Source organism: Homo sapiens, chromosome 2, assembly GCF_000001405.40.
Source record: "Homo sapiens chromosome 2, GRCh38.p14 Primary Assembly".
NCBI classification, from domain to species: domain Eukaryota; kingdom Metazoa; phylum Chordata; class Mammalia; order Primates; family Hominidae; genus Homo; species Homo sapiens.
The window spans coordinates 94,917,178-94,942,961 of NC_000002.12; the positions used below are offsets into that span (position 1 = coordinate 94,917,178).

The 25,784-nt window shown below is 39.4% G+C and overlaps 1 long non-coding RNA gene across 1 annotated transcript in view; it reads right to left on the reverse strand.

The window, feature by feature from the left end:
- LOC442028 (uncharacterized) overlaps window positions 1-25,784 on the reverse strand; it is a 78,658-nt gene that overhangs the window by 48,493 nt on the left and 4,381 nt on the right. Inside the window, exons 2-5 of the long non-coding RNA NR_037597.1 lie at window positions 18,139-18,197; window positions 15,756-15,814; window positions 13,609-13,683; window positions 12,842-12,996 (exon numbers count right to left, since the gene is read on the reverse strand). This is a non-coding gene — a long non-coding RNA (uncharacterized LOC442028). The remainder of the gene's footprint in view (window positions 1-12,841; window positions 12,997-13,608; window positions 13,684-15,755; window positions 15,815-18,138; window positions 18,198-25,784) is intronic.

The window sequence follows — 25,784 nt, forward strand, 5'->3', positions numbered from 1 at the left end:
AAAGGGAACCAACCTGGCAAACGGTTGGCAGCACAGAAGTGTACAGCGAGTTTCGTAAATGGTGTGTAGTACAGTGGCTAGGATGTAGGTGTAGGACGGAAGTCTAGTGTAGTGCCCAAGTGTAGGGGGCTTTGATTTTTATATGAGGGACTGTGACTATTACAGCAGGTCCTTGAATAATGTCTTTTCATTCAACATCATTTTATTGTAACGTTGATGAGAAAAAAACAATTCTCAGCCAGGGACTGTCTGTGTGGTCTTTCCACATTCTTCCCAGGTCCCTGGGGGTTTTCTCTGGGTATTGCAGTTTCCTCCCACATCTCAAAGATGTGCCCGTTATGTGAACTAGCATTTCTAAATGGTCCCCATCTGAGCCGTGTGTGTGTGTGTGTGTGTGTGTGTGTACACTCTGACATAGGATGGCATCCTATCCAAGATATAGGGCTGGGCTGGTTCTGCCTAGCGCCCTGAGTTGCTAGGGGACACTCTGGCCACCCACGACCCTGAACTGAAACACGTGGGTAAGTAATAATCTTACTTGTTTTTGTCACTGGTAATTAACAGGTTTTTCCCTGCTCTGTAGTAGTTGCAAAGCAAGAAAACCCAATGAGAAACAAAGTCAAACAGGTTTTCTTCCTGGCTGAGCACGGAGAAGAAAAGACTTCTTGCTCTAAAGACACTCTCCCCCTGAAAAATAGAAGGTATGGGGTTTTGAAGAACTGGGTACAGGGAGGGAGAGCAATGTTAGCATGTGCAGGGTGGGACTCCAGGTGCACAGGTTCAGTGCATAAACATACATCCTTATGCAACCCACGACACAAAATGGCAAGATTTTTTGGGGGGAAGGAATTTTAGTATTATAGTGATATGTTCATGATCTGGGCTGGTCGCTCTGGCTCATGCCTGTAATCACCAGCACTTTAGGAGGCCAAGGTGGGTGGATCACCTAACGTGAGGAGTTTGAGGCCCGCCTGGCCAATGTGATGAAACCTGGTCTCTACTAAAAGAAATACAAAAAAAAAAGTTAGCCGGGCTAGGTGGTGCACACCTGTAATCCCAGATACTAGTGAGGCTGAGGCAGGAGAATCGCTTGAACCTGGGAGCCGGAGGTTGCAGTGAGCCGAGATGGTGCCAACTGCACTCCAGCCTGGGCAACAGAGTGAGACTCTGTCTCAGAAAAAAAAAAAAAAAGATCTAAAAGCAACTAGAGGTCACCTGTTCAAGTTTGTGCTGGTTGTGGTTGGGGATGTTACCTCCTTCTAATATCTGGTTGGGGTGGAGCAACTCTGGTGCTGTTGGGCCATCTGGTTTCTTTATGCATTTGTGCCTACAAATAAAGAAACTAAAGACAACACAGTAAGAAAAAAAACTTCCCCAATTATTTCATCAGGGCGGCCCTGGTAACATTTTCATTGATTTTTTTATCTTTTTTTTTTTTTTTTGAAACGGAGTCTTGCTCTGTTGCCCAGACTGGAGTGCAGTGGCTCGATCTCAGCTCACTGCAACCTCCACCTCTCAGGTTCAGGCAATTCTCCTGCCTCAGCCTCCCAAGTAGCTGGGATTACAGGCACGTGGCACCACGCCCAGCTAATTTTTTGTATTTTTAGTAGAGACAGGGTTTTGCCTTGTTGGCCAGACTGCTCTCAAACTCCTGACCTCAAGTGATCCTCGTACCTCAGCCTCCCGAAGTGCTGGGATTACAGGCGTGAGCCACTGTGCCCAACCTAATTTTTCTTAAATGTATGTAGAGCTCACATTTATTTCAGAGTTTAATACTGGAAGTGTTCTGGGCCTAAGTTTGGTGATGTTTTCGTGACCAGAAATATGCCATGGAAACAACTATTTCTATCAATTAGGCTATGGTAAAATTGGCGTAATTACAAGTCACAGTTTTCAAGAACATATTAAATCCTCACACTATGTGAGAACTTACTGTATTCAATAGGCAATGGAGAGTCAGAAAAGTTTAAGCAAAAATGTGTAATTCTTCTATCAGAACATAATTGATAACACATAATTTTATGAAACATCATGTTTATAACAAAGTTTTTAAATTATGTAGATATTATTAGGGTTGTGAAGATGAAGACTATATAAGCCCATTTATTTGCAAATCAGCACATAAACATAGTAGGATTAACAATATAAGCTGTAGCTTATGCTAAATGTTGGTGGCAGCAGACAATAAATTATGGAGAACTTCAGAGGACACTAAGGTTGGATGGGATCTTGGAAGTTTTTTTTTTTTTTTTTTTTAATTGATCACGGGATCTTGGAAGTTTTACAGGTCAATGCCACTCCATCTATTGGCTGAGTTTCACTAGGTTAATACATGAACAACAAAAAAATAACCTAGATCAGAAGTTAAACATCATTTTATTGAGTATCTGCCACGTCTGTGCCATTGCAGTGTACTAGGTGCACTTATGAGTCCTCTACTTACAAATTGCTTTTCACAAAATATGAAACTCCAGGCAAAGGTTCAGACATATGACATTTGTTTTTAAAATCTGTATACAGCCTTGTATCCTTTTTCCTTTCCTTCCTTTTACCCTTTTTAAAATGTGCTATGGGTTTTATCTTAGACTAACATCTGTAATGTTGCTATACGCCAGGATTAAGTTGCTGTGTTTGATGAATCATAAAATGGTATAAAACTTCAATTAGTGTACTTTTTAAATAAAGTATCTATGAATGTATCCAGCAAAATGCTTATGATTTGAGTATTCACAAAATATTAGTTTTCTCTGGATCTAACAATAATGTGAAAACCCAAAATGAATATAAAATATTAGCTAATAGATTTCAAAGTATTCTAAAAGCACAAAAAGTATATGACGTTATTACTTTCATATACGTAAAACATTAATTTTTAGTCAACATAAACATCAACTTTACACCTAAACTTGTATTAATTCAATTAAGAGTAAATTTAGTATCCTAAAGTCATCAAATATTAAAAAACAATGTATTCTGACTTGGAATATACATAAAATTAACTATTTTCAGCTGAGCACAGTGGCTCATGTCTGTGATTCCAGCACTTGGGAGGCTGAGATAGGCAGACTGCCCGAGATCAGGAGTTTCAGACCAGCCTGGCCAACATGGTGAAACCCTGTCTCTACCAAAAATACTAAGTTAGCCAGGCATGGTGGAGCCTGCCTGTAATCCCAACTACTGTGAAGGCTGAGGCAGGAGAATCACTTGAACCCAGGAGGCAGAGGTTACCGTGAGCCACGAATGCACCACTGCACTCCAGCCTGGGTGACAGAGTGAGACTCCTATCAAAATAATAATAACTATTTTCTGCAAGTCCCAAGATAAAATAGCATTGCAGAATACCTAATAATCCTGAGTTTGGTTTTCTTGGTTTTATTTTGTTTAGTTTTGTTCACCTTGACCCGGTGGGCTGGTGGTTCTTAGGTGCACCAAGGTTTTCATTTCTCTGTTCAAGATTTTAAAATCTTAATGTGGTAATTTCTCTAATTTTTTTTGACAGTTACGTCCCAGGTTGCAAATTAAAATAAAATTCCCATTTTACTAAAGCCCTTGGTTTATTAATGATTTTATAATGACTTAATATATAATTTAATGAGTAATGAGGGGCACTACATTTCAGAAATCAACACTGAAGAACTTATTCATGGACCCAAACACCACCTATTTCTCAAACACCTATTAAAGTAAAAATACATATAAATAATTTTTAAAAATAAACACTAAAAATAAAGTGAATATGAAAAAATATACATCCAGGTTTAAAAAAAAACTATTTCAGTTAAACAACAAATACTTTTTGGGGGGACTCAACTCTACTACAAAATTATTTGTTGTTTATTATAATTAATAATACAGGTAAAAATGTATTTAAAAATGAAAATATAGTAAAAAATAAAAAGATATTAACAAATATTGGTATACTGGTGAAGGCCAGGCTCAATGGCTGTTTTCCAAAGTGGTTACACCAGTCGGGTTTGGTGGCACACACCTGTAATCTCAGCACTTCCGGAGGCTGAAGCAGGCAGATCACTTGAGCTCAGGAGTTTGACACAAACCTGGGCTACATGGCAAAACCCCATCTCTACCAAAAACTGTAAAAATCAGCCACACATGATAGCATGCACCTGTAAGTCCCAGTTACTTAGGAGGCTGAGGTGAGAGGATCACTTGTGCCTGGAAGGTCACAGCTGCACTGGCCGTGTTCATGCCACTGCACTACAGCCTGGGCAACAGAGCAAGATTTTGTCTCCAAAAAAAAAAGTTGGTAACAATGTGGAATAATTGGAACTCACATACATTACCGGTGGGAACATAAAATGGTGTCATCAATTTGGGTGTTTTCTTGGCATTTGACTTTTTTAAAAATCAAGATATTGTCTCCCTATGTTGCCCAGGCTGGTCCTGAACTCCTGGGCTAAGACAATCCTCCAAACTCAGCCTCCCGAATACCTGAGATTAAAGGTGTGAGCTACTGTGCCTGACTGGTGTAACCACTTCGAAAAACAACGTGGCAGTTTCTCAAAGGCTAAATGTATAGTAATCACATAATGCAACAATTTCACTCCTGGGTGTAAATCCAAGAGAAATAAAAATATATTTTCACACTAAAACTTACATATGAGTGTTCATAGCAGCCTGACTCATGGCGGCGAATACACAGAAACAACACAAATGTCCATCAACTGATGAATGGATAAACATAAACTATTACTCAGCTATAAAAGGAAAGACATACTGATACACACTAACCTGAAAGAAATTTGAAAACATTGTGCTAAGAGAAAAAAAAGCAAACCACAAAAGATCACACATTGTACAGTTCTATTTCTATAAAAGGTCCAGATTAGGCAAAACTACAATGACAGAAAATAAATCAGTGGTTGCCTATGAAGACACAGGAACATGGGGGAAGTAGGAGGTAGCGGCTAAGAGGTGAGGGTTTCTCACTCATAAGTGGCTAACTCGTAAGTGGGTAATCACTTCTAAGAGAGACTATGGTGATGGATGCCAGCTCTGTGAATATTCTAAAAACCAGTGAATTGTATACCTTTTTTCTTTATTTAGAGACAGGGTCTCCTTCTGTCACCACGCTGTAGTGTAGTGGCGCCATCTGGTCTCACTGCAACCTATGCCTTCTGGGCTCAAGTGATCTTCCAGTCTCATGTCCCCAAGTAGTTGGGACTACAGGCATGAGCCACCACACCCAGCTAATTTTTGTATTTTTGCTAGAGATGCTGTTTTCTCATGTTGCCCAGGCTAATCGCAAACTCCTGAACTCAAGCAATCCACCTGCCTCAGCCACCCAAAGTCTTAGCATTATAGGAATTAGCCACTGCGCCTGGCCTGAATTGCATGCTTTGATAAATGAATTGCATGATATGTTAATCATATTTCAATATTATTATTATTTTAAAAAGGGCCGGGTGTGGTGGCTCACGCCTGTAATCTCAGCGCTTTGGGAAGCCAAGGCAGGCGGACTGCCTGATTTCAGGAGTTCAAGACCAGTCTGGCCAACACACTGAAACTCCGTCTCTACTAAAAATACAAAAACATTAGCTGGGAGTGGTGGTATGTGCCTGTAATGCCAGCTAGTCGGGAGGCTGAAGCAGGGGAACTGCTTGAACCAAGGAGGTAGAGGTTGCAGCCAGCCGAGATCATGCCACTGCACTCCAGCCTCCGTGACAGAGCGAGAGTCCGTCTCAAAAAGAAAGAAAAAGAAAATGGGCGTTGAACACAGGTGGCTCCCACCTACATATAATCCAAGCACTTTGGGAAGCTGAGGCAGAATGATCACTTGAGGCCAGGAACTTGACACCATCCTGGACAACATAGCAAGATCCCGCCTGTACAATAAAAAATCAAGAAGTTAGCTGGGCATAGGGGCAAATGTTATGTTAGTCCCAGCTACTTGGGAGGCTGAGGTGGGAGGACTATCTGAGCCCGGGGTTTCAGGCTGCAGTGAGCCATGATCACGCCACTGCACTGCAGCCTGGGTGACAGAGCAAGACCCTGTCTCTAGGGGGGAAAAAAAAGAAATGCAAGTTTTTATCACCTACTGAGAGTAATCAACGTTCAGGAGGAACAGAGAAGAACAAAAGACCACTGAATGGTTGAGGGTGGGTTGCTGGTTAGGCTCAGTCACTAGCTGAGTAGTATCTGAAAAATTTATTAGTAAAATTACGGCGCTAGGGGTGAGTCATGCAGTCGAATGATGAATACTAAATCCAGTACAAACGCCCACGTTCTTTCTTTACATGAATTCCAGTGAAAAATTCCTAAGTGCCTAAATAGTAAGTAGTCAGAAACGATGGCAGCAGTGGTTTATTAAAGACTGAAAAAAGAGGCCGGGCGCGGTGGTTCATGCCTGTAATCCCAGCACTTTAGGAGTCCAAGGCCGGTGGATCACAAGGTCAGGAGTTCAAGACCAGCCTGGCCAACATGCTGAAACCCTGTATCTAATGAAAATACAAAACTTAGCCGGGCGTGGTGACATGCACCTGTAGTCCCAGCTACTTCAGAGGGTGAGGCAAGAGAAATGTTTAAACCCGGGAGGCAGAAGTTGCTGTGAATCGAGATTGTGCCACTGCACTCCAGCCTGGTGACAGAGCAAGACGCCGTCTCAAAAAAAAAAAAAAAGAAATGGCATCTTCAAGAACCACAAGAGAGTTCCACGCTGAAGAAGCTCTAATTCTGCATTTGCTCAACTATTGATTTGAGTTAACCAATATGACACTATCTTAGGTAAAGTGTACAAATAACTCAATTTCATCTCCTCGTTAATAACTGATTAGGTAGTTTAATATCAATTCTGATTTTTAAAAAGCCAATCAGAAAAAGAATTATGGAACCAATAAGAGGTTTGAATAGTTACAAACTGTTCAAAGGCGAATTCAAAAAACCACTCAGGTATGAGGCCATAAAGTATGATGAAATGAATTTCATTAATGTATTTTAAAATAAACCGATTAGACAGGCAACAACAGCTGGGCACGGGTCTCCTCACCTCCAGCAACACAAACCCAATCACTCAGCTATGGGGTTGCAAAGGCTGCATAGTCACAAAGAGACTGGTCTGAGTTGAGATTTCTTTACTTGTATTTGTATTCTAAGACAGGGTCTCACTCTGTCACTCTGGCTACAATGCACGGGTGCACTCACAGCTAACTGCAGCCTTGGGCTGCAGGGATCCTCCTGCCTCAGCCTCACCATAGCTACGACTACAGATGAGCACCACAACACCCAGATAATTTTTTTTTTTTTTTGTAGAAAGAGGAGCCTTGCTATGTTGCCCAAGCTGGCCTCAAACTCCCACCCTCAAGAAATCTGCCCACCTCGACAACCAGAGTAACTGGTTCTACAGGAAAATACCACTATCCCTGGGTAATTATATTTTATTAATTTTTATTTGCATAGACAGGAGGTCTTGCTATGTTGCCCAGGGTGGTCTCAAACTCCTGGACTCCAACAATTCTCCCATCTCTGCCTCCCAAAGTGCTGACACTACAGGCATAAGCCACTGCACCTGGCCCGACTTAAGATTTCTTTAATCTAGCATCCCATACTTCATATAATTGGGAAAATCGGTAGTTTTTTTTTAATTACTTAGTATTTCAACAAGAATCAACCATCTCTCACCATTGCCAGGACCCTGGTCAGAACCACTATCATCTCCTACCTGGATGTTGCCACAGCTTGGCCTCCCTGCTTCTACCCAAATCTTCCCACAATCTTTCTCAACTCAGCCACCATGGGATGCTTTTAAATCAGTAGACAGTTCATGTCACCTCTCTGCTCAGAACCCTTCCGCATCTCCCATCTCAGACAGAATAAAAGCCAAAGCCCCAGCAATAGCCTCCCAGGGCTTACACAATCTGTACTGATCTGAGCCCAACAACTCCCTGGCCTCCTCCCCTACCTTCTCTCCCTCTCTCTGCTCCACAGGGCTCTTTCCTGAGCTTCAAACACACCACGGAGTTCCCTCTTAGCATCTTTATTCTGTTTGTTTCTGCCTACAATTCTCTTCCCTCAGTACCTTGGCCAGCTCCTTCCCCTCCTTCAAGTCTTTGCTCAATTTTCACTTAGGAGGCCAACCCTGACCACTCTGTTTAATATTGCTATGTGTCCCCATTCCTGCCATGCTCACTCATTTCTTTTTACTTTCTTTTTTTTTTAAGATATAATCTCGCTGTGTCACTCAGGCTGAGGCACCATGGCACCATGGCACGATCACAACACACTGAGACCTGGAACTCCTAGGTCAAGAAATCGTCCTGCCTCAGTGCCTCTAGTAGCTAAGACTACAAGTGGATGCCACCACGCCCGCTAATTTTTTTTTTCCATGTAGACAGGGTATCACTTTGTTGCCCAGGCTTATCTTGAACTCCTGGGCCAAAGCAACCATCCTGCCTCAGCCTCCTAAATAGCTGGAATTATAGGAGTGGGCCACTACCCCTGGCTTCATGTTCATTTCTTCTTGCTGCTGTTACAAACTACCCTACATTGAGTGGCTTAATACACCACAAATCTACTACCTAACAGGTCTGGGGGCCAGAAGTCCAAAATAAGTCTATTAAGGCTAAAGTCAAGGTGTCAGCAGGACTGCATCCCTTCTGGAGGTTCCAGAGAGAATGTGTTCCCTTGCCTTTTCCAGTTGCTAAAGCCACCCCTATTCTTTGGCTCATGGCCCCTAACTGCATCTTCAAAGCCAGAAGCAAAGCATATTCGAATCTCCTTCTGTGACCTGTGCTTCCATCATCAAATCTCCTTCAATTCTGACTCTCTTACCTCCCTCTTTCACTTATAAAGACCTCTTGTGATTGCTGGACACAGAGGCTGTGGTTCACAACCATAATCCCAACAGTTTAGGAGGTCAAAGCAGGAGAAACGCTTGAGGCCAGAAGTTCAGAACCAGCCTGCGAAACACAGTGAGACCCCCTCAATTAAACAACAAAAAGAAGTAAGAAAAAATTAGCTGGGCATGGTGGTATGCATCTGTAGTTTCAGCTACTTGAGAGGTTGTGGTGAAAGGATCGCTTTAGCCCCAGAGTTCAAGACCAGCCTCAGCAATATTAACAAGATCCCATCTCTACAAAAAAATACAGAAATTAGCTGGGCATGGATGGTGTGCACCTGTAGTCCCAGATGCTTGGAAGGCTGAGGCGGGAGAATTGCTTGAGCCCAAGTGTTTGAGGCTGCAGTTAGCTACGACTGCATCATTGCACTCCAGATTGGGTGAAATAGACTCTGTGTCCAAAAGAAAAAGAAAACAAATACACATTTGGTTTCTGCCCCTCGTCTTGGCACAGAGCTTCTCAAGTTCTTATAAAGGCCTTGGTGATAAAGATGATAGGAGCATTTTTTGTTTGACTATTTGGTCTTAGTCCCAGGTTTCTAACACAAGAGCCTCTAAGACCTTTGGGTTCACCATAGTACGAATGCATTTGGTGATATTACTGAGATGACTGGGTGACTGAAAGCTCCTAGACAGCTTCAGAAAAAGGGCTGGTTGCCAGAAGAACAAACCATGCGCTTGATTAGAGGCTTGGTGTCAGCCTCACCCACTGGGCTCCAGGAAGAAATAGCGGCCTAAGACTGACTTAATCACCAATGGTCAATGACTTCATCTATCACGACTGCTTAAAGAAGCCTTCGTAAACGCCCTCAACAACTGGATTTGGAGAATGTCTGGGTTGCTGAACACAAGGGAGATACCAGGAAGGTAACATGCACAATAGAGGGCATGGAAGTTCTGTACCCCTCCCGACACACCTTGCCCTGTGTTTTATTTTTTGTTTTTGTTTTGAGACAGGGTCTGGCTCTGTCTCCCAGCCTAGAGTGCCGTGGCACAATCGTGGCTCACTGTGACCTATGCCTCCCTAGCTCAAGCCCCGTCCTCTCATCCTAGCCTCCTGAGTACCTAGAATTACAGGCACTGAGTAGCTAGAACTATAGATCACTGCACCTGGCTAATTTTTAGAAAAATCTTTTTGTAGAGATGCGTTTTCACCATGTTACCCAGGCTGGTCTTAAACTCCCGAGCACTTAAGCGATGCTCCCACCTCAGTCTCCCAAAGTGCTGAAATGAGCCACTGTGCCCAGCAGGTACATCTCTTTCACTGGCTATTTCTGAGATATAGCCTTTAAAATGAACCAGTAAAAGAAAGTAAATTGGTGAGATGCAGTGGCTCACGCCCATAATCCCAGCATTTTGTGAAGTTGAGGTGGGAGGATCATGTGAGTCCAGAAATTTGAGACCAGCCTGGGCAACATAACAAGACCCCATCTCTACAAAAAATAAAAGAACTTAGCCAGATATGCTGGTGTGGGCCTGTAGTCTCAACTATTTGGGAGGCTGAGGTGGGAGGATCACTTGAGCCCAGGAGTCCCATGCTACAGTGAGCTTTGATCACACCACTGCATTCCAACCTGGCAACAGACTGAGACCCTGTATCTCAAAAAAAAAAAAGGAAAATCTGTTTTTCTGAGTTCTGCAAGCTGTCGGAGCAAATGATTCCACCCACCAATGGGGTCATGAAACCCTGTTTTCTAACTGGTTGGTCAAAACTACATGTAACAACCCAAGACTTGCAATTGGCATGTGGAGTGAGGGTAGACTCCTGGGACTGAGCCCCCATCCTACAGGGTCAGCACTAACTCCAGGGAGTGTCAGGATGGAATTGTGGGATACCCAGTTGGGATCCAGATTGTCTGAACATCAGTGTAGAAACTCCACACGCACATTTGGTTAGAGGTGTTTAACCCTAACTACTGTTCACGAAAAGGGTCTACTCATTAGAACTGAAAATCATAAAATTGTAAGTTCTACAAAAATAAATCAACCTTATCTACTGGCCAGTCCTACCAAACTACAGAATGTGAGAACAGAAGGTCTAACCGTGGACTCGAGAGCTGACATTAGGAATGTCACCATCATCCTGCTCTCCAAGGACTCCTCATCTTCAACAGACTCCTCATCTTCAATGGGCAGGGTGGAAACTGCAACTTGTGCCATGATCCTTGCACAAGAAAAGCAGTAAGAAAGTGAGTGTAGAAATCCAGTGTCCTAAACTCACATCCAGAGCTGTGAGTTTTTCACCGGCTGGATAATTCACAGTTTTCTTGAATTAGGGGAAAAATAAGACTCAGAAACTAGGAATTCCTTTTGCCCAAAACTCTCATCAGATAGAGAATCCATCCACTAACTTTCTATCTAGTATTATTTCCATAAGTTAGATCAATATCACTCCCAAAACAAATGTACATGGCACCCAGAATCTGTGCATCTGCCAAGTAAAAGAGGAGGCGGACGGGCACAGTGTCTCATGCCTGTAACCCCAGCACTTTCGGAGGCCAAGGTGGGCAGATCACTTGAGGTCAGGAGTTCAACACCAGCCTGGCCAACATGGTGATACCGTCTCTACTAAAAATAAAAAAAATTAGCCACGTGTGGTAGCACGTACCTGTAGTCCCAGCTTCTTGGGAGGCTGAGGCAGGAGAATTGCTTGAACCCAGGAGGCTGAGATTGCAGTGAGCAGAGATCGCACCACTGCATCTGAGCCTGGGTGACAGAGTGAGACTCTGTCTCAAAAAAAAAAAAAGGAGGGGGGAAGGAGGTAAGGCACCTTACAACCCAGTGATGGGCTACCACAACTCAACACAGCAAAGAGGTGCCAAGCTCCCTTTCTCCCCTGCACACCCCGACACAGAAGAGTTGGTGCAGTGGAATGAGGCTGGATGGAGAGAAGTTCCTCTTCTTTCCTTTCCTTTTTTTTTTTTTTTTTTTTGAGATGGAGTCTCACTCTATCACACAGGCTGGGTGCAGTGGCGCGATCTCGGTCACTGCAACCTCCGCCTCCCGGGTTCAACCAATTCTCTGCCTCAGCCTTCCGAGTAGCTGGGATTAGAGGCGCCCACCACCACACCCAGCTAATTTTTGATTGTTTGTTTGTTTGTTTAGTAGAGACTGGGTTTCACTATGTTGGCCAGGCTGGTCTTGAACTCCTGACCTTGTGATCCACCTGCCTTGGCCTCCCAAAGTGCTGGGATTACAGGCATGAGCTGCTGCACTCAGCCAAGAAGTTCCTCTTCTTACTGAAAAAATAGATCACAGGGCATCAAGTAACACATGAAATTCTTTATAATAAGCAGTATTATTTTTGGAAAACCTTTCCTAATATTTTGGTATCAGCAAAAACCCTCAAATTAATTTCAAACACTATAAAAATACAATACATAAACAGAAAATATTAACTGTCAGCAATGCTATAGAGAAATTGGAAGCTGTATGCATTGCTTTTTGGAATGTAAAATGGTACAGCCCACTGTAGAAAATGGTTTAGCAGCTCCTTAAAAATATTAAGCAGAGAATTATATGATCCACCAACACCCTTTAAGTGTATATACCCAAAATAACTGAGAGCAGGGACTGAAACAGGTATTTGTACACCCGTTTAACAGCAGCATTATTCACAGTGGCCAAAAGGTAGAACCAACCCTAATGCCCATCAGTAGGTGAATGGATAAAGAAAATGTAATATATACATACACAGAGTATTATTCAGTCATAAAAAGAAAAATATCTGGCCAAATTCAGGGGCTTACACCTGTAATCCCAGTATTTTGGGAGGCCAAGGTGGACAGGTCTCTTGAGCCCTGAATTTTGAGACCAGGCTGGACAATATGGCACATTTGGTTAGAAGTGTTTGACCGTAACTACTACTCAAGAAAAATATCTACTCATTGGAACTATAAATCATAAAATTATAAATTCTACAAAAACAAATCAACCTTATCTACCACCCAGTCCTACCTAATTATAGAATGTTAGAACAGAAGGTCTCACCGTGGACTCAAGAGCTGATATGAGCAATGTCACCAGCATCCTGCTCTCCGCGGACTCATCTTCAACGGACTCCTCGTCTTCAACAGACTCCTCATCTTCCATGGACTCCTCATCTTCAATGGGCAGGGTGGAAACTGCAACTTGTGCCATGATCCCTATGCAAAAAATAGTAAGATATTGAATGGTAGAAATCCAGTATCCTAAACTCACATCCAGAGCTGTGAGTTTTTTTCACCGGCTGGCAAATTGTTTTTTTGCATCAGAGAAAAAAATAAAACTTGGTAACTTGGTATTCGATTTGCCCAAAACTCTCATCAGATAGAGAATTCATCTGCTAACTTTCTATCCAGTATTATTTTCCATGAAGTTAGATGAATATCACTCCCAAAATAAATCCACGTGGCAACCAGAATCAGTGCATTTCTCCCAAGAGGAGGTGGCCAAGCGCCCACATCTGTAATCCCAGCATGTTGGGAGGCCGAGGTGGGTGGATCAGGAGGTCAAAAGATTGAGACCATCCTGGCCAACATGGTGAAACCCTGGTCTCTACTAAAAATACAAAAAATAGCTGGATGTGGTGGTGTGTGCCTATAATCCCAGCTACTTAGGAGGCTGAGGCAGGAGAATCACTTGAACCAGGGAGTCAGAGGTTGCAGTGAGCCGAGATCGTGCCACTGCACTGCAGCCTGGCGACAAAGCAAGACTCCCTCTAAAAAAGAAAAAAAAAGAAAAAAACAGTAAAATACAAAATGTCTTTTTCTCCTAACCTTCTTAGCCTTCTGCTGGTACTTCAATTTCTGCTGGTACTGCTTGGTCATTGCCCTTTAAAGAATGATGGCTTCCTAAAAAGAAAATAAACAACATACAATAAACCAATAAAAACTCACATTGAAAGATAAAAAATAATCTAGGTGACGATGCAAGCACTTTCAAGACATAATAGGCCAGGTGCGGGGGCTCACACCTGTAAACCCAGCAGTTTGGGAGGCCGAGGAGGGCAGATCACCTGAGGTCAGGAGTTCGAGACCAGCCTGGGCCAACATGGTGAAACCTCATCTCTACTAAAATACAAGAAATTAGCTGGGCGTGGTGGCGTGTGCCTGTAATCCCACCTACTCGGGAGGCTGAGGCAGGAGAATCACTTGAACCCAGGAGACGGAGGTTGCAGTAAGCTGAGATCGCGCCGCTGCACTCCAGCCTGGGTGACGAGAGTGAAACTCCGTCTCATGAAAAAAAAGAAAAAGACATAATAAACACAAAATATGATTCTATTAACTATTAATCCAAATAACGTTTTCTAATTCAGAAGAAATATATAACATGTCTATTTGGTAGCTTGAAAACATTATTTTAAAATACAAATACAATACACCCAAGTAGGCTTGGGAATTTAATATTAATTACTCTAACCACATGATAAAATTACTGGATATTGGAATCTGAAGAAGCACAACTATGCTTCAAGTACCATGCTCATCTGTCACTGACACACACACATACACAAGTGTGAATGCTTGCTTTGCTCAGACAATTAACTGTAAATAAGCTCAGGGTTTGCTGTGGAATGTTCCCTGCTTTCCATTTTCACTATGGTGAAAGTTATGGAAACTCAATCTCCATAATTTAAGCAAACCTGTACTTTAAGTAACTCATAAGTAAAAATTTAAGGTACTACCCTTTAGTGTCAAAAACATTTTAATCCAGGTAACATAATCTGTCTGCTTCTAAAAACTGGCATATAAAGCAACAGGTCTATTAGGCAGTCACAAGGTAAACAGGCTCATCCTACTGGAACAGAAGTTTTACTCACAAATATGAAAGAAATAATCTAAAATATCAGAATGCCAGTTAGGATTAAGACCACAAGCTGCCCCCAGTACACATCCTCTGTCCTTAAAGATCTGAACTACTAACATGGAAAAGATTGAAAAACACTGTCTTCAAGTATAAATAAAAATATATTACATTTCAGTAAGAATACATTGTTTAGGGGGAAGGGAAGCAGATGCTCATCTATTTTGTCCTATCTATTGATAACTAAATTCAGAAGCTGTACTAAAAGTAAAGTAAAAGTTATTAATACATCTCTTAATTTTTAAAGAGCAATGATTACAGTCAGAAAAACTCATTTGGTGGCTAGTATTCTTGAATTAAAAGTGCCATACTGAAGTGAAATCTTTTTGGTTTTCAACATCTACCTTTTTCATGGCACAATTACTTTGGGATTCTTTTCCACTTACTGCATATTGTGAAAACTCACCTGAACTCAAAACTCTAGGTAAATCTATAAACCTGTATCTCAGAATCCATGTTTAATTCATTTGTAAAGTATACTTTCTCTGCACACATTTCCTCTCTCCTTTTAACCTTAATATTCGGATTTAGGGAGCATTAAGTTCCTTGACTGTAAAGTCAACAAAAAAAAGAGATATGAAGTCAAAGGAATGGGAGATAATGTACAAGAAGGCAGTAGTTAGAAAGTAAAATTTCAATAAAGAATAACAGTTAAGATGGTTGTTCATGTTATTACCCAAATGCCAGGAGTTTTGTCCAGGTCCTCCTGCTCACGGGACAGAAAGCCAGTCACTGAGGTGACAAGTACTGCCAAGGAAGAAAGCTTTAACCTGGTGCTGCAGCCCAGGAGCTGGGAGCTCAGTCCCAAATCCATGGGCTTGACTAATAGGAGCAGGAAAGAAACATAACAATGTGTGAGAGAACAGAAATTAGGGAAGGGCAGGAGGCATGTGGTGCTGTGATCTGGTATGTTTCAGTTATCTGATACTTCCTGAAGGTCTTTTTTTGAGGAGAGAACTCAGATAAAACAGATCCAAGTTTCAAGCTTTAACAGCAGGGTCAATTTTTACGTTCATCCAAAAAAAACACATCCATCAAAGTGGGTGCATGATGCACTTACCCATTCAATTGTGTCAATGTAAGCAATGATTCTGTAGTTCCTCTTTGTTCTTCCAAAATCTGAAATAAACAATTGAATTTATATTATATGCTAAACCTAAAGAAAATACATCTTGTGCACTTGAGGCCAGAAGAGATAGAAGTAAAACTTATTACTAATAGCCTATGAGAGAGTCAACTTTGGGAACACTATAAAAAACTCAAAAAAAGTAATAAACGCATAAAACTTACAGATTAACAGGTGCTATTTCAGAATTCTTCTAAATACCAAGTATCGACATGACCTTATCAATATTTGCATTACCAACCATACAATAAGAACCTGACTTCTGACTATACTGAGATAAGGGATAAATGTGTACTTTACCTTAAATGGCAAAGTGCATCATGTACCCACTTCGAGATTCACAACAGGGAAAACTGATTTGAAAAATTGTTGCTTGTGAAGTTCATTTGTATGTTAAAAAAAGGCCAATACGTTTTCCATTTTCCACATAGAAAACGAATACTATACTTATAAATACTAAAACACAGTCTGTGGAATACAAGGAACCATTAAATAGAAACGGTATGTAGGAAAATGGAAATGAAAAGATTATACATTGCAAAGACTTCAGTAGAAGGAGTTTTTCGTCAATATCATCAGCTTCAGAAGGGCCTGCTTTGGGATACAAAGACAATACTTCAACAGTAACTCCCCCAAGCCAGACGCAGTGACTTATGCCTGTAATCCCAGTAATTTGGGAGGCCAAGGCAGGCAGATCTCTTGAGGTCTGGAGTGCGAGACAAACCTGGCCAACAGGGTGATACACCGTCTCTACCAAAAAATACAAAAATTAACCAGGTGTAGTGGTATGCACCTATATACAGTCCCAGCTATATGGGAGGCTGAGGCCAATGTACTCATTTTTTCATTCCTGCACCCAAGAAACTGCAACCAATCTACTCTGTTAAGAGCAGAGATAAAGGGTTTAGACTCCATATTACATGTAAAATAGAAGAAACGAATCAGTTTAGTATGAACTTGTATGCACTGTTGGAGAGGAAAGTAGGTTAAGAAGCCATTAAGATACATGAAGGAAGATCAAATGTCAAAGAAAACTAGAAATTCAGATTTATTTATGTAGCTCTAGAAGGAAGAACCAGGAATGGTGGAGAATGAATGTAGAAAACATTTTTAGTGAATAAAAGCATGAGATGATAACACAAGCAGCCACCAATGGAACAAACTGATGTGAAACAGTGGATTTGCCATCACTGAAGCTATCCAGTCTCTGACTGTTGCAGGTATTACAGAGCTATCAAGAGTTTTAGTAGGCGGCTGGGGTTCCTTTCAGATCTAACATGCCATGATGCCAAAATGCTGTACATGCTCTCATCTTTTTCTGGCTCATTTTTTTTTCTCTCTTCAGGTTTCTTAACCTTTTAACTACTTCCCTGTATTAATAATCACGTAAACCATGCACTCAGTCTTCTGAAGTAAATTTCTTTATCTTTCGCTTCACAAATAAACATCTTTGATGGATGCAAACACCGCAGGAAAGCCACCTAAGCAGATATGACTTCTCAACTTTTTTTAAAGTGATTTCCATTCATCGCTAATTCCAAACAAAACAATTGCAAACTATCATAAAATTATTAGAAAGTGAAAATGGGAGGCATTGGTTAAATATGTGTTTAGTATGCTTCACCATGTCCTCAAACATATTTAAAAAGTTAATTCACACTTCTTTAAGTGCATTGGGGGACTTGCTTTAGATTAAGAAATATGTTAACTATTTCAGGACACTAAGGACCTTACAAATCTGAATTAGCTCAGATTGGCTGCTATCTCCTCAATTATTTTCTGATAAATAAGAAACAAACAGTAAATAGCAACTTCCACAAAATCTACCAGTAGTACACAAGGGCAGCCAAACTTCAAAATTCTTGCCACTCAAACTCTAGATGGTTACTATTTACTAAAATGTAAATAATAAAAAGACTTTTCTCAATCTTGTCCTCCAGAAGAAAAGCCATGAAGTTCAAACACTAACCAAACAAAGGGTAACCAAACAAAGGGTAAGGAGAAACATTTATATATTGGTGTTCCTTTTGTTAGTGTCTTCACATACAACACTCCTCAATTTTAAACAGCACTTTCTTTCAGAAGACAAAACCAAGACAAAATGGTAGAAATCAAAGGGTTACAGACTTTGATTTAAAAGGCATAACCTTTTCAAAAATGAGAGTTATCGATGGATCACTTACGAGAACAAATTCCCTGGCACTAGGATAAACAGAGGTTGGAAAACCATCTTTCCAGGTGCTATAAAACAGAATCCTCTCATGGTGCAAGAGTCCTAATTCTAGGGGTCTAGGATTATTTTTATTATTATTGTTACCTTTCCCGTTCTGGAAAATCTTCAAGACTCTCTTGTAAATGTCACCAACCCAGTAGGTTCTACAGAAGCAATAAAAGAAAAACATACCCAAAATAAGTTTCAATTTTGAAAACATTATACACACGCGCACGCACACACACTCGGTAAAAGAATAGGTCTAACATTGACTATAAAACTAACCAGGAAATACAAAGCCTAGCATTGGAAAATAACAGAATATTGATTGAAAATAATATTCTCCTTACAGTAGAAACTCCTTGTATAAAACTCCTTCAGTAAGGCTTCACTAAACAAAACTATACAAATAACAGCACAACATAGAATTTGAGTGCTAGTACTTTTTGCTAAAGTTTTGAAGCTGAATACACTTTTTTTAAAAAAAAAAAGCATTAAAAAAAGGGTGTATAACTGGCACAGCTTATGCAGTAAAGACAAAATTGAATTCAAATTTGTAGACTCCTTTACAAAGAATGGACTTAACCCTACATTCAAAAACTGGTGAATAAATACACATTTATGTACTTTATAGTAAACTGAAATGCCACAGATTTAAAAAGAAAATCATTTGCACATCCTCTGGAGTTAGTACAGCTAAGTCTCAGGCTTAAATAGTGGGCAATCACTCTACTTGTTAGTAGCAGTCTTAGCCAGAGAAGAAATTACTGGTTCTAAGAGTTTACAGAACAAGGATGACATATTTTTCAAGGAGCAATAAATTTGGGAAGAGCAAAATGGAGTACTATTAACGTAGTCAATAATTTTAAGAGGATGAGATCCTCTTCTAGTCAGATTTATTTTTTAAAGCTAGTAGCAAAAGAAACAAATAAATCAGCTGGCCAGAGTAATCTGTCTGATTCAAATCAAAGAAAACTAAAAAGGCCATGCCATTTCTATTTTCTTGAATAGAAAAAAGCTCTTAAGGAAAGAGAGAGATGTCAGGAACTATTAGTGATGACAGTGTATAACCCAGTAAAAGCCTGGCCATCATTTCATTCCTATGCACACAATTCCACATTTCTCCTTGTTCTCAGTCAAAAGCAGGAACCACTCAAAAACCATATGGAGCAGTTACAGAAGAAAACAAAATTTTTTGTTAACATGGGTCTTACATTCTTTAGATACCTAACTTTAAGATAAATGGATAACATATTTAAAACTCACAAGTAAGTGGTCAAACAACTCAAACACTAGAGAAGCAATTCTATGAATATAATAGAAAACATCTCTCTTGTCATTCGGTAACTTAGCAGAGAAGTAAGAACATCAAATGTCCTTCATACATACTGAGAGATGCTAAGAAAAATTCATAAACACTGCTGGCAAACCAAGAAAAGGCAGAAGAACATGGTTTCTTAGATTAACAAAAAATGCCTTGAGAGCACGTCTGTTAGCTTTCTTTCAAAACAAGGCAACTTTCATCTCAGAATAGGATACTTTAATTCATCAAATACTTCCCATAATAAAATCACAATATATACTACATTCAGGTCATGGATACTTTATCTAAAACTATACAGAAAGTAATTTAATTCGGAAGGCTTTTAAAAATATTTCAGTCTCAAGATCTTCATCAAATATAAAATACACATGTTTAATAACACTGAAAGGTTGGTCCTGATGGAATTCTATTTTATCAATTCTAAAAGCCAGGTTTTTTCACATACTACATTTCTGAAACTGGAATACATCTTTTATAATGGAGATATCTTACCATAGGTCTTGACTAGAGAAGAATTTTCCCAGAGAAGATGTACATCTGCTTCTGCTGTCATCTGGGAACGCTATCAGCCCGATACCATCTGAATTAATCCTTTGGGGCAGGCCTTTGTAGACCACACTGGTGGTAAGGCTGCACACCCAAAGCTTAGGGCTTGTGGTTCAAATTCTGAGAAATTTTTTTTTTTCCATTCTCTATGTAGTGTCAAGGTTGAGACCTGCATGTTTCTTTATGGTCCCTTTTCTGGATGGCCAAGTTAATTTCTCATTTATCCCTGGGTGTACCAGCCTTGTGGGTTAGGTCTCCTACTGAACTCCCTGTCCTGAGTGTTTTTTCCTTCTTAGAGGTATATAATGTAATAGCACTTTTTAAAAATAATCTATGACATCTTAGATTCAATGAAATATGGTACATTAAGCTTCTCAAGTCTACTGAGTAGGCTCCAGAACTTCTACACAATGACTCATTATACTGCAAACCTCTTTTATTCTCTTTAGTATTTCCTCTTTAAACCGTTAGCTTTACATACTGCAGACCAAGAGCAATGTTGTACTGCATTTCTACAAAGAACTTTATTAACATGTACACTGAAAAAGTCAGAAAATAAAATGTCTAGTTATAATTTATTTCTTCAAATTCCCAATACTTATAATGGCATATACATTTCTAGTTGAAAAAACAAACTTTTAGCTTTTTCCTCGAAGTATCTGAAACCCTAAAATTTAGAAAGCCAAGTTAGTTTTTAGAGAAGACATACATGATTTGACTCCCAGGACAAAAAAGTAAACTCTGTACTACTTAGTTATAATAATTCTACATAAAACGGCAACTCAAAGTACTGTAAAAAACAAACAAAAAAGACCAATAGTAATAATTCTAACTAGACCTAGAATAGCCAAAAAAAGTAGTCATTTTTTTTTTTTTAGACAGAATCTTGCTCTATCACCCAGGCTAGAGTGCAGTGGCACAATCTCAGCTCATTGCAACCTCTGCTTCCCGGGTTCAAGTGATTCTTGTGCCTCAACCTCCTGAGTAGCTGGGATTACAGGCTCCGCCACCGCACCTGGCTAATTTTTGTATTTAGTAGAGACGGGGTTTCACCATCTTGACCAGGCTGGTCTGGAACTCCTGACCTCGTGATCCACCAACACCTGGCCTTACGTAGTCATCTTTTTAACAAGTCATTACAAATTCTAATTTGATTTTGTGTCTCAGAGGTCCAAATGATTCTGCATTTTAATATTTCATTCAGCACAGGACACAAAACTGAAATTCAATAAGCTATGAGATAAATAATTCCATATCAAAGAAGCATATAATTTTCCCTTAAATATCAAAATCTTGATAATTGATTTCATTCTAAAAATTTAACAATGTCCAATAGCAATACATTCAAAGGAGAAGATGCCAAGTACATTGTAATGCAAGAGTAAAAGAAGGATATGAGAAAAATGACCTTAAAATTATTCAAAGACATGTTTTCAGACAATCCTACAACCCAGAACTGAAAAAAAGCCATTTCACTTGACCAGGTTGACATTACCTACTTAGCACAAAGAAACTTTTGAGGTGTTCTGGTTTACATCCACTTGTAGGAAAGGCTACCAATTGACAATAGCTTACATTTATTAAGCATGTATCTTCTTAATATCTATAACTACCCTGTAAGGTAATGGCCATTAGTATATTATTTCATAGATGATAAAACTGAAGCTTAGAGGTGTCAAGAAACTTGACCATGGTCATTCAGCTTCTGAGATAAGAGTGGCAATACCAATCTATTATCAGCTGGTCATTACCAGTATTTGTTGGACATTTACTATTACTGTCTCAGCTGCTATCGGGTTTTGGGGAAGCAAGAATGTTAAAGTTCAATAGAGGAAGAAGGAGATACAAAACTCAGTACAAAAGTTTTTATAAGAGCTCCACAAAGGGCTTAGGGGGGCACAAAAGAGAGGAATGGGTAGAAAAGCAACGTGTCAGTTGACTTATGCAAATAAACTACTGAACGTTTCTTTAAGTAAAGAGCATCCAAAATTTATTTCCTGGTCAATATACTTTCTCTGGTTTTTATTCATGAAAATCTTTTGATGTATACTACAGATTTCAGAGAATATGGGTCCAATTTCAGAGTATGTAAACCCCGTCCCCTTACATTTATAGCACACATTTATGCTTATACACAACATAAGCATAAAATCTAGGTTATCTTGTCGCATCATTACTACTGTTTCAATGTGGTTGGGAGAGGAAGGTTTACGTTAAACACAAAATGTTCCTCACATGTCACTTGACTTGAACTGTTCCCATCATCAAGAAAAATTACGGTAAGAATGAAAGGAGTTTACTTTTCTCTGTGACTGTTCTAAAGAAGCAGAGGAGCGTTTTAAGTTTATCTGGTTTCCTTGATGAACGTCCCTCAAACAACCTAAAAGAGTTGAAAAATAAAAGAGAGTGGAAGATGACTTAAAATGCCTTAATGATTCACAAAACTACATCCATATTGCTACCACATAATAAAAAGAAATAATTGTTCCAGAAGACAATTCTGTAATGATAAGAACTAGAAAATTCGTTTAGATTCAAACGGCATCTGGAGAGAACTGAAACCAACTAGAACCAGACTTCTCCAAAGCTGTTCAAACCAGACAGCATTTGCTACCAACCACATTTCTCCAACCTATATCTTCCACCACAAAGAAGGCACCATGCACCATCTAGCCCTCCCAGTCAACTGTGGTCAGTCAGTGCAGTCAATGGCTAATAACATTTATAATTCATAATGTTACTAGTTTGGTAAGTAACAAAAACAGTATCTGAAAAAAATCATCTGAGTGTTTGTGAGGAAATTAGAGTGGAGGGGAATGGGGGAAGGGACACAGGCAGGTATAACAAGATATCAGGGCTCAACAATCCTTGTTAATTATACTAGATTCTTTTATGGATTGAATGTTTGTGCCCTCTCAAAATTTACATATTGAATCTTTAAACCCTAATGTAGCTAAATTTGGAGACAGGGCCTGTGAGAAGGTAGTAACAGTTAAATAAGGTCATAGGGGTGGGACTCTAATCTGATAGAACTGGTGTCATTTTAAGAAGAGAAGGTGAGACTACGGTACTCTCACTCTGCCACATGAGGACAAGATGTTAGCAAACCTATAAGCCAGGAAGAAAGCCCTCATCAGGAACCGAACCAGCAGCACCCTGATCTGCAGCTTCTAGCCTCCAGAACCGTGAGAAAATAAGTTTCTGTTGTTTAAGCCACCCAGTTCTATGGTATTTTATTATGGCAGCCCAAGCTGACTAATAGAGATCCTTGGCATGGTAACCAAAACAGTGCCTACCCTGTGTCATCTAGTTTTCAGCAACCTGGACTTGGATTACTTAATTCAGTTTCCTTTGAAATGATGTGGCATTGTTATTGGTAACACGTAATTCAGTTTATTCTGAGAAAAGCAGGGCTTTAAAAGCATTATCACCCGAGTAAGTAGTTCACTAAAAGATTTCTAACACAAAAGCATGCTTTTGAGTATAAGATCTAGCTTTCCAAAGGCATTTAAAAATTATAGAGACTCAGTGGCCATGAATGATGAGGTACTCTTCATCTGCCTCTAGTCATGTGCTCTAACTTTAAAACCAGAGACCCTTCAAGTAAAGTCCACGTTAGTAAGTGCTGAAATGGGTAATTATTTTTCATGATTACAAGAGTAAGCTTATGTAACTACGCTGAGAGAAAAGTTAATTCCATGAGAAAATCCTATTGAGTAACTGAAATAAATTAGGAAAAGGAAATGCAGTTTTCAAATGGTTCCGTTTTCAACGATCTGAAATCTCTATTCAGGGTCAATTTCTGGAAAAACAGTTTATATGAGTATTTATTTCATAAAAAGAATACTTATGTAGGCTAGTATTTTAACAAAATCTAAAATCAGATCTCTTTTTAAAAAGTTTAAGACATCCTGTGTGATAATTTTTATTTATTTAAAAGAACCTATCCTTCTAAAATATTTAATACACATACTCTTATAATCCAGTCGCCAGCTTAAACAGGGTACAGATTAAATAAGATAGTATTTCTAAATTGATTCCGAATGGATTAAAACTCAATAAAATGGACATTTTATTGAGTGAATGGAGAGAGCTAATACATCTGGCAAGTCAGTTAAGAGAGCTTCTGCCATTTTTGTTGACATGTAATAGTGTAATAAAGTCACATGTAATACCATAAAGCTCTGTAAAGAAATTTTAACCTAGCCTATTTGTTTAAAGGAGATGTTAACAATTCATGCTCCCTTGAACCACTTCATTTTTGCTTTTAGGACAGGAGTGTTCATTAACACACACAATCAATTACTAAAATAAATATTATCAAGCAGTAACCAAAAAATTCAACGTAAGGCTATCATACCCAAACTCAAAGATCCAGAAGCCAATTTAACTAATCCATGCCTCCTTGGCAAAAGTGTATGGATATTACCTTTTCCTTGTGATAGTAAAACCTACCCATTTTCTTACCTCACCCAGTATCAGGTTTCATGTTTCCACAAATAAAGCAGACAATGAACATACTGTGTAGAAATCTTGAGCTCTTAATTAAAAAGTACTCACCGAGTTGTATCTAAATAATTGGCTACAATGATCTAAAACACACAGTTATATCTGGATCATTTGCTACAATTATCTAAAACCACTTTATTTACATCTTAGTATTAATCACAGGACAAAAACGCTAATATTTTCAGAACTACAGCCAGTGTTGCTATCTGGCGCAGGCAACATGTCTTCAAAACCCCATGATACTATGTGTTTGCCCCCAAGTAAACAGGAGGGAGATCCAGGCGCCCCTTCCAAAAGCAATAGCTTAGAGGAGAGAAGGAAAATCAAAGACACTGAGACGATTCATGTTAGCAAAAAGTGAACCTGCCACCCCAAACAGCAGAAAACAAAATCTGAAAACTAAGATGTATAATATGTTATGTATTATTCACAAAATTTATTCACAATATCTTTAAATAATTACAAAACCGTGTTTCTGAAAATGTTACAATAAAATTATATGTGTGTAAAGTGTATCTATTTTATGTGTACATTTGTGTGTGAGAGAGAGGGAGGGGATTATGAATTAGGAAGAGTATGTACCAAAATATTAGAAGTAGTTATCCTTGGGTAATGAGATTATGAATGATTTTCACTTTCCTCTTCATACCTTAACATCTCAAAATTTACAATCAGAATTCATTATAAGCTATTGTATTTTTATTTATTTATTTATTTTGTGAAACATGGTCTCACTCTGTCACCCAGGCTGGAGAGTGCAGTGGCACGATTTCAGCTCACTGCAACCTCGGCCTCCCAGGCTCAAGCAGTCCTCCCACCTGAGCCTCCTGAGTAGCTGAGACCAATCAAAGTTAAGTTTTCTTCGGTTTAAAGTAACTTGTTGTAATTATGTTGTTTAGCCTCATGGTAACCAGAAAGCAAAAATCAATAGACACCCTAAACATGAAAAGCAAGTTATTGAAACACACCACCAGAAAAAATTACTTTACTACAAATAAAGACCGGAGGAAAGGCAAGGAGGAAAGTAAAAAAAGGAAGAAATAAAAAGAGAGATCAGAGAGAAAAAAAAGAGGAAGGGAGAAAGAACAAAAGAAAAAGTAGCAACACAATCAAAAAAGAAGTAAAATATGGCATAGTATGTTTTTACCTGTAATAATCCTGAATATACATGAAGTAAGACAGAGTGGCTGAATGGATTAAAAGAAAAGACCCAATTATGTACTGCCTACAAGGAACTCAGTTCACCTATAAAGACATACACAAAGTGAAGGGATGATAAAAGATATCCCATACAAACGGAAACAAAAAAAGGAGTAGCTATACTTAGATAAAATAGCCTCTAAGTCAAAAAAAGAAAAAGATCATTATATAA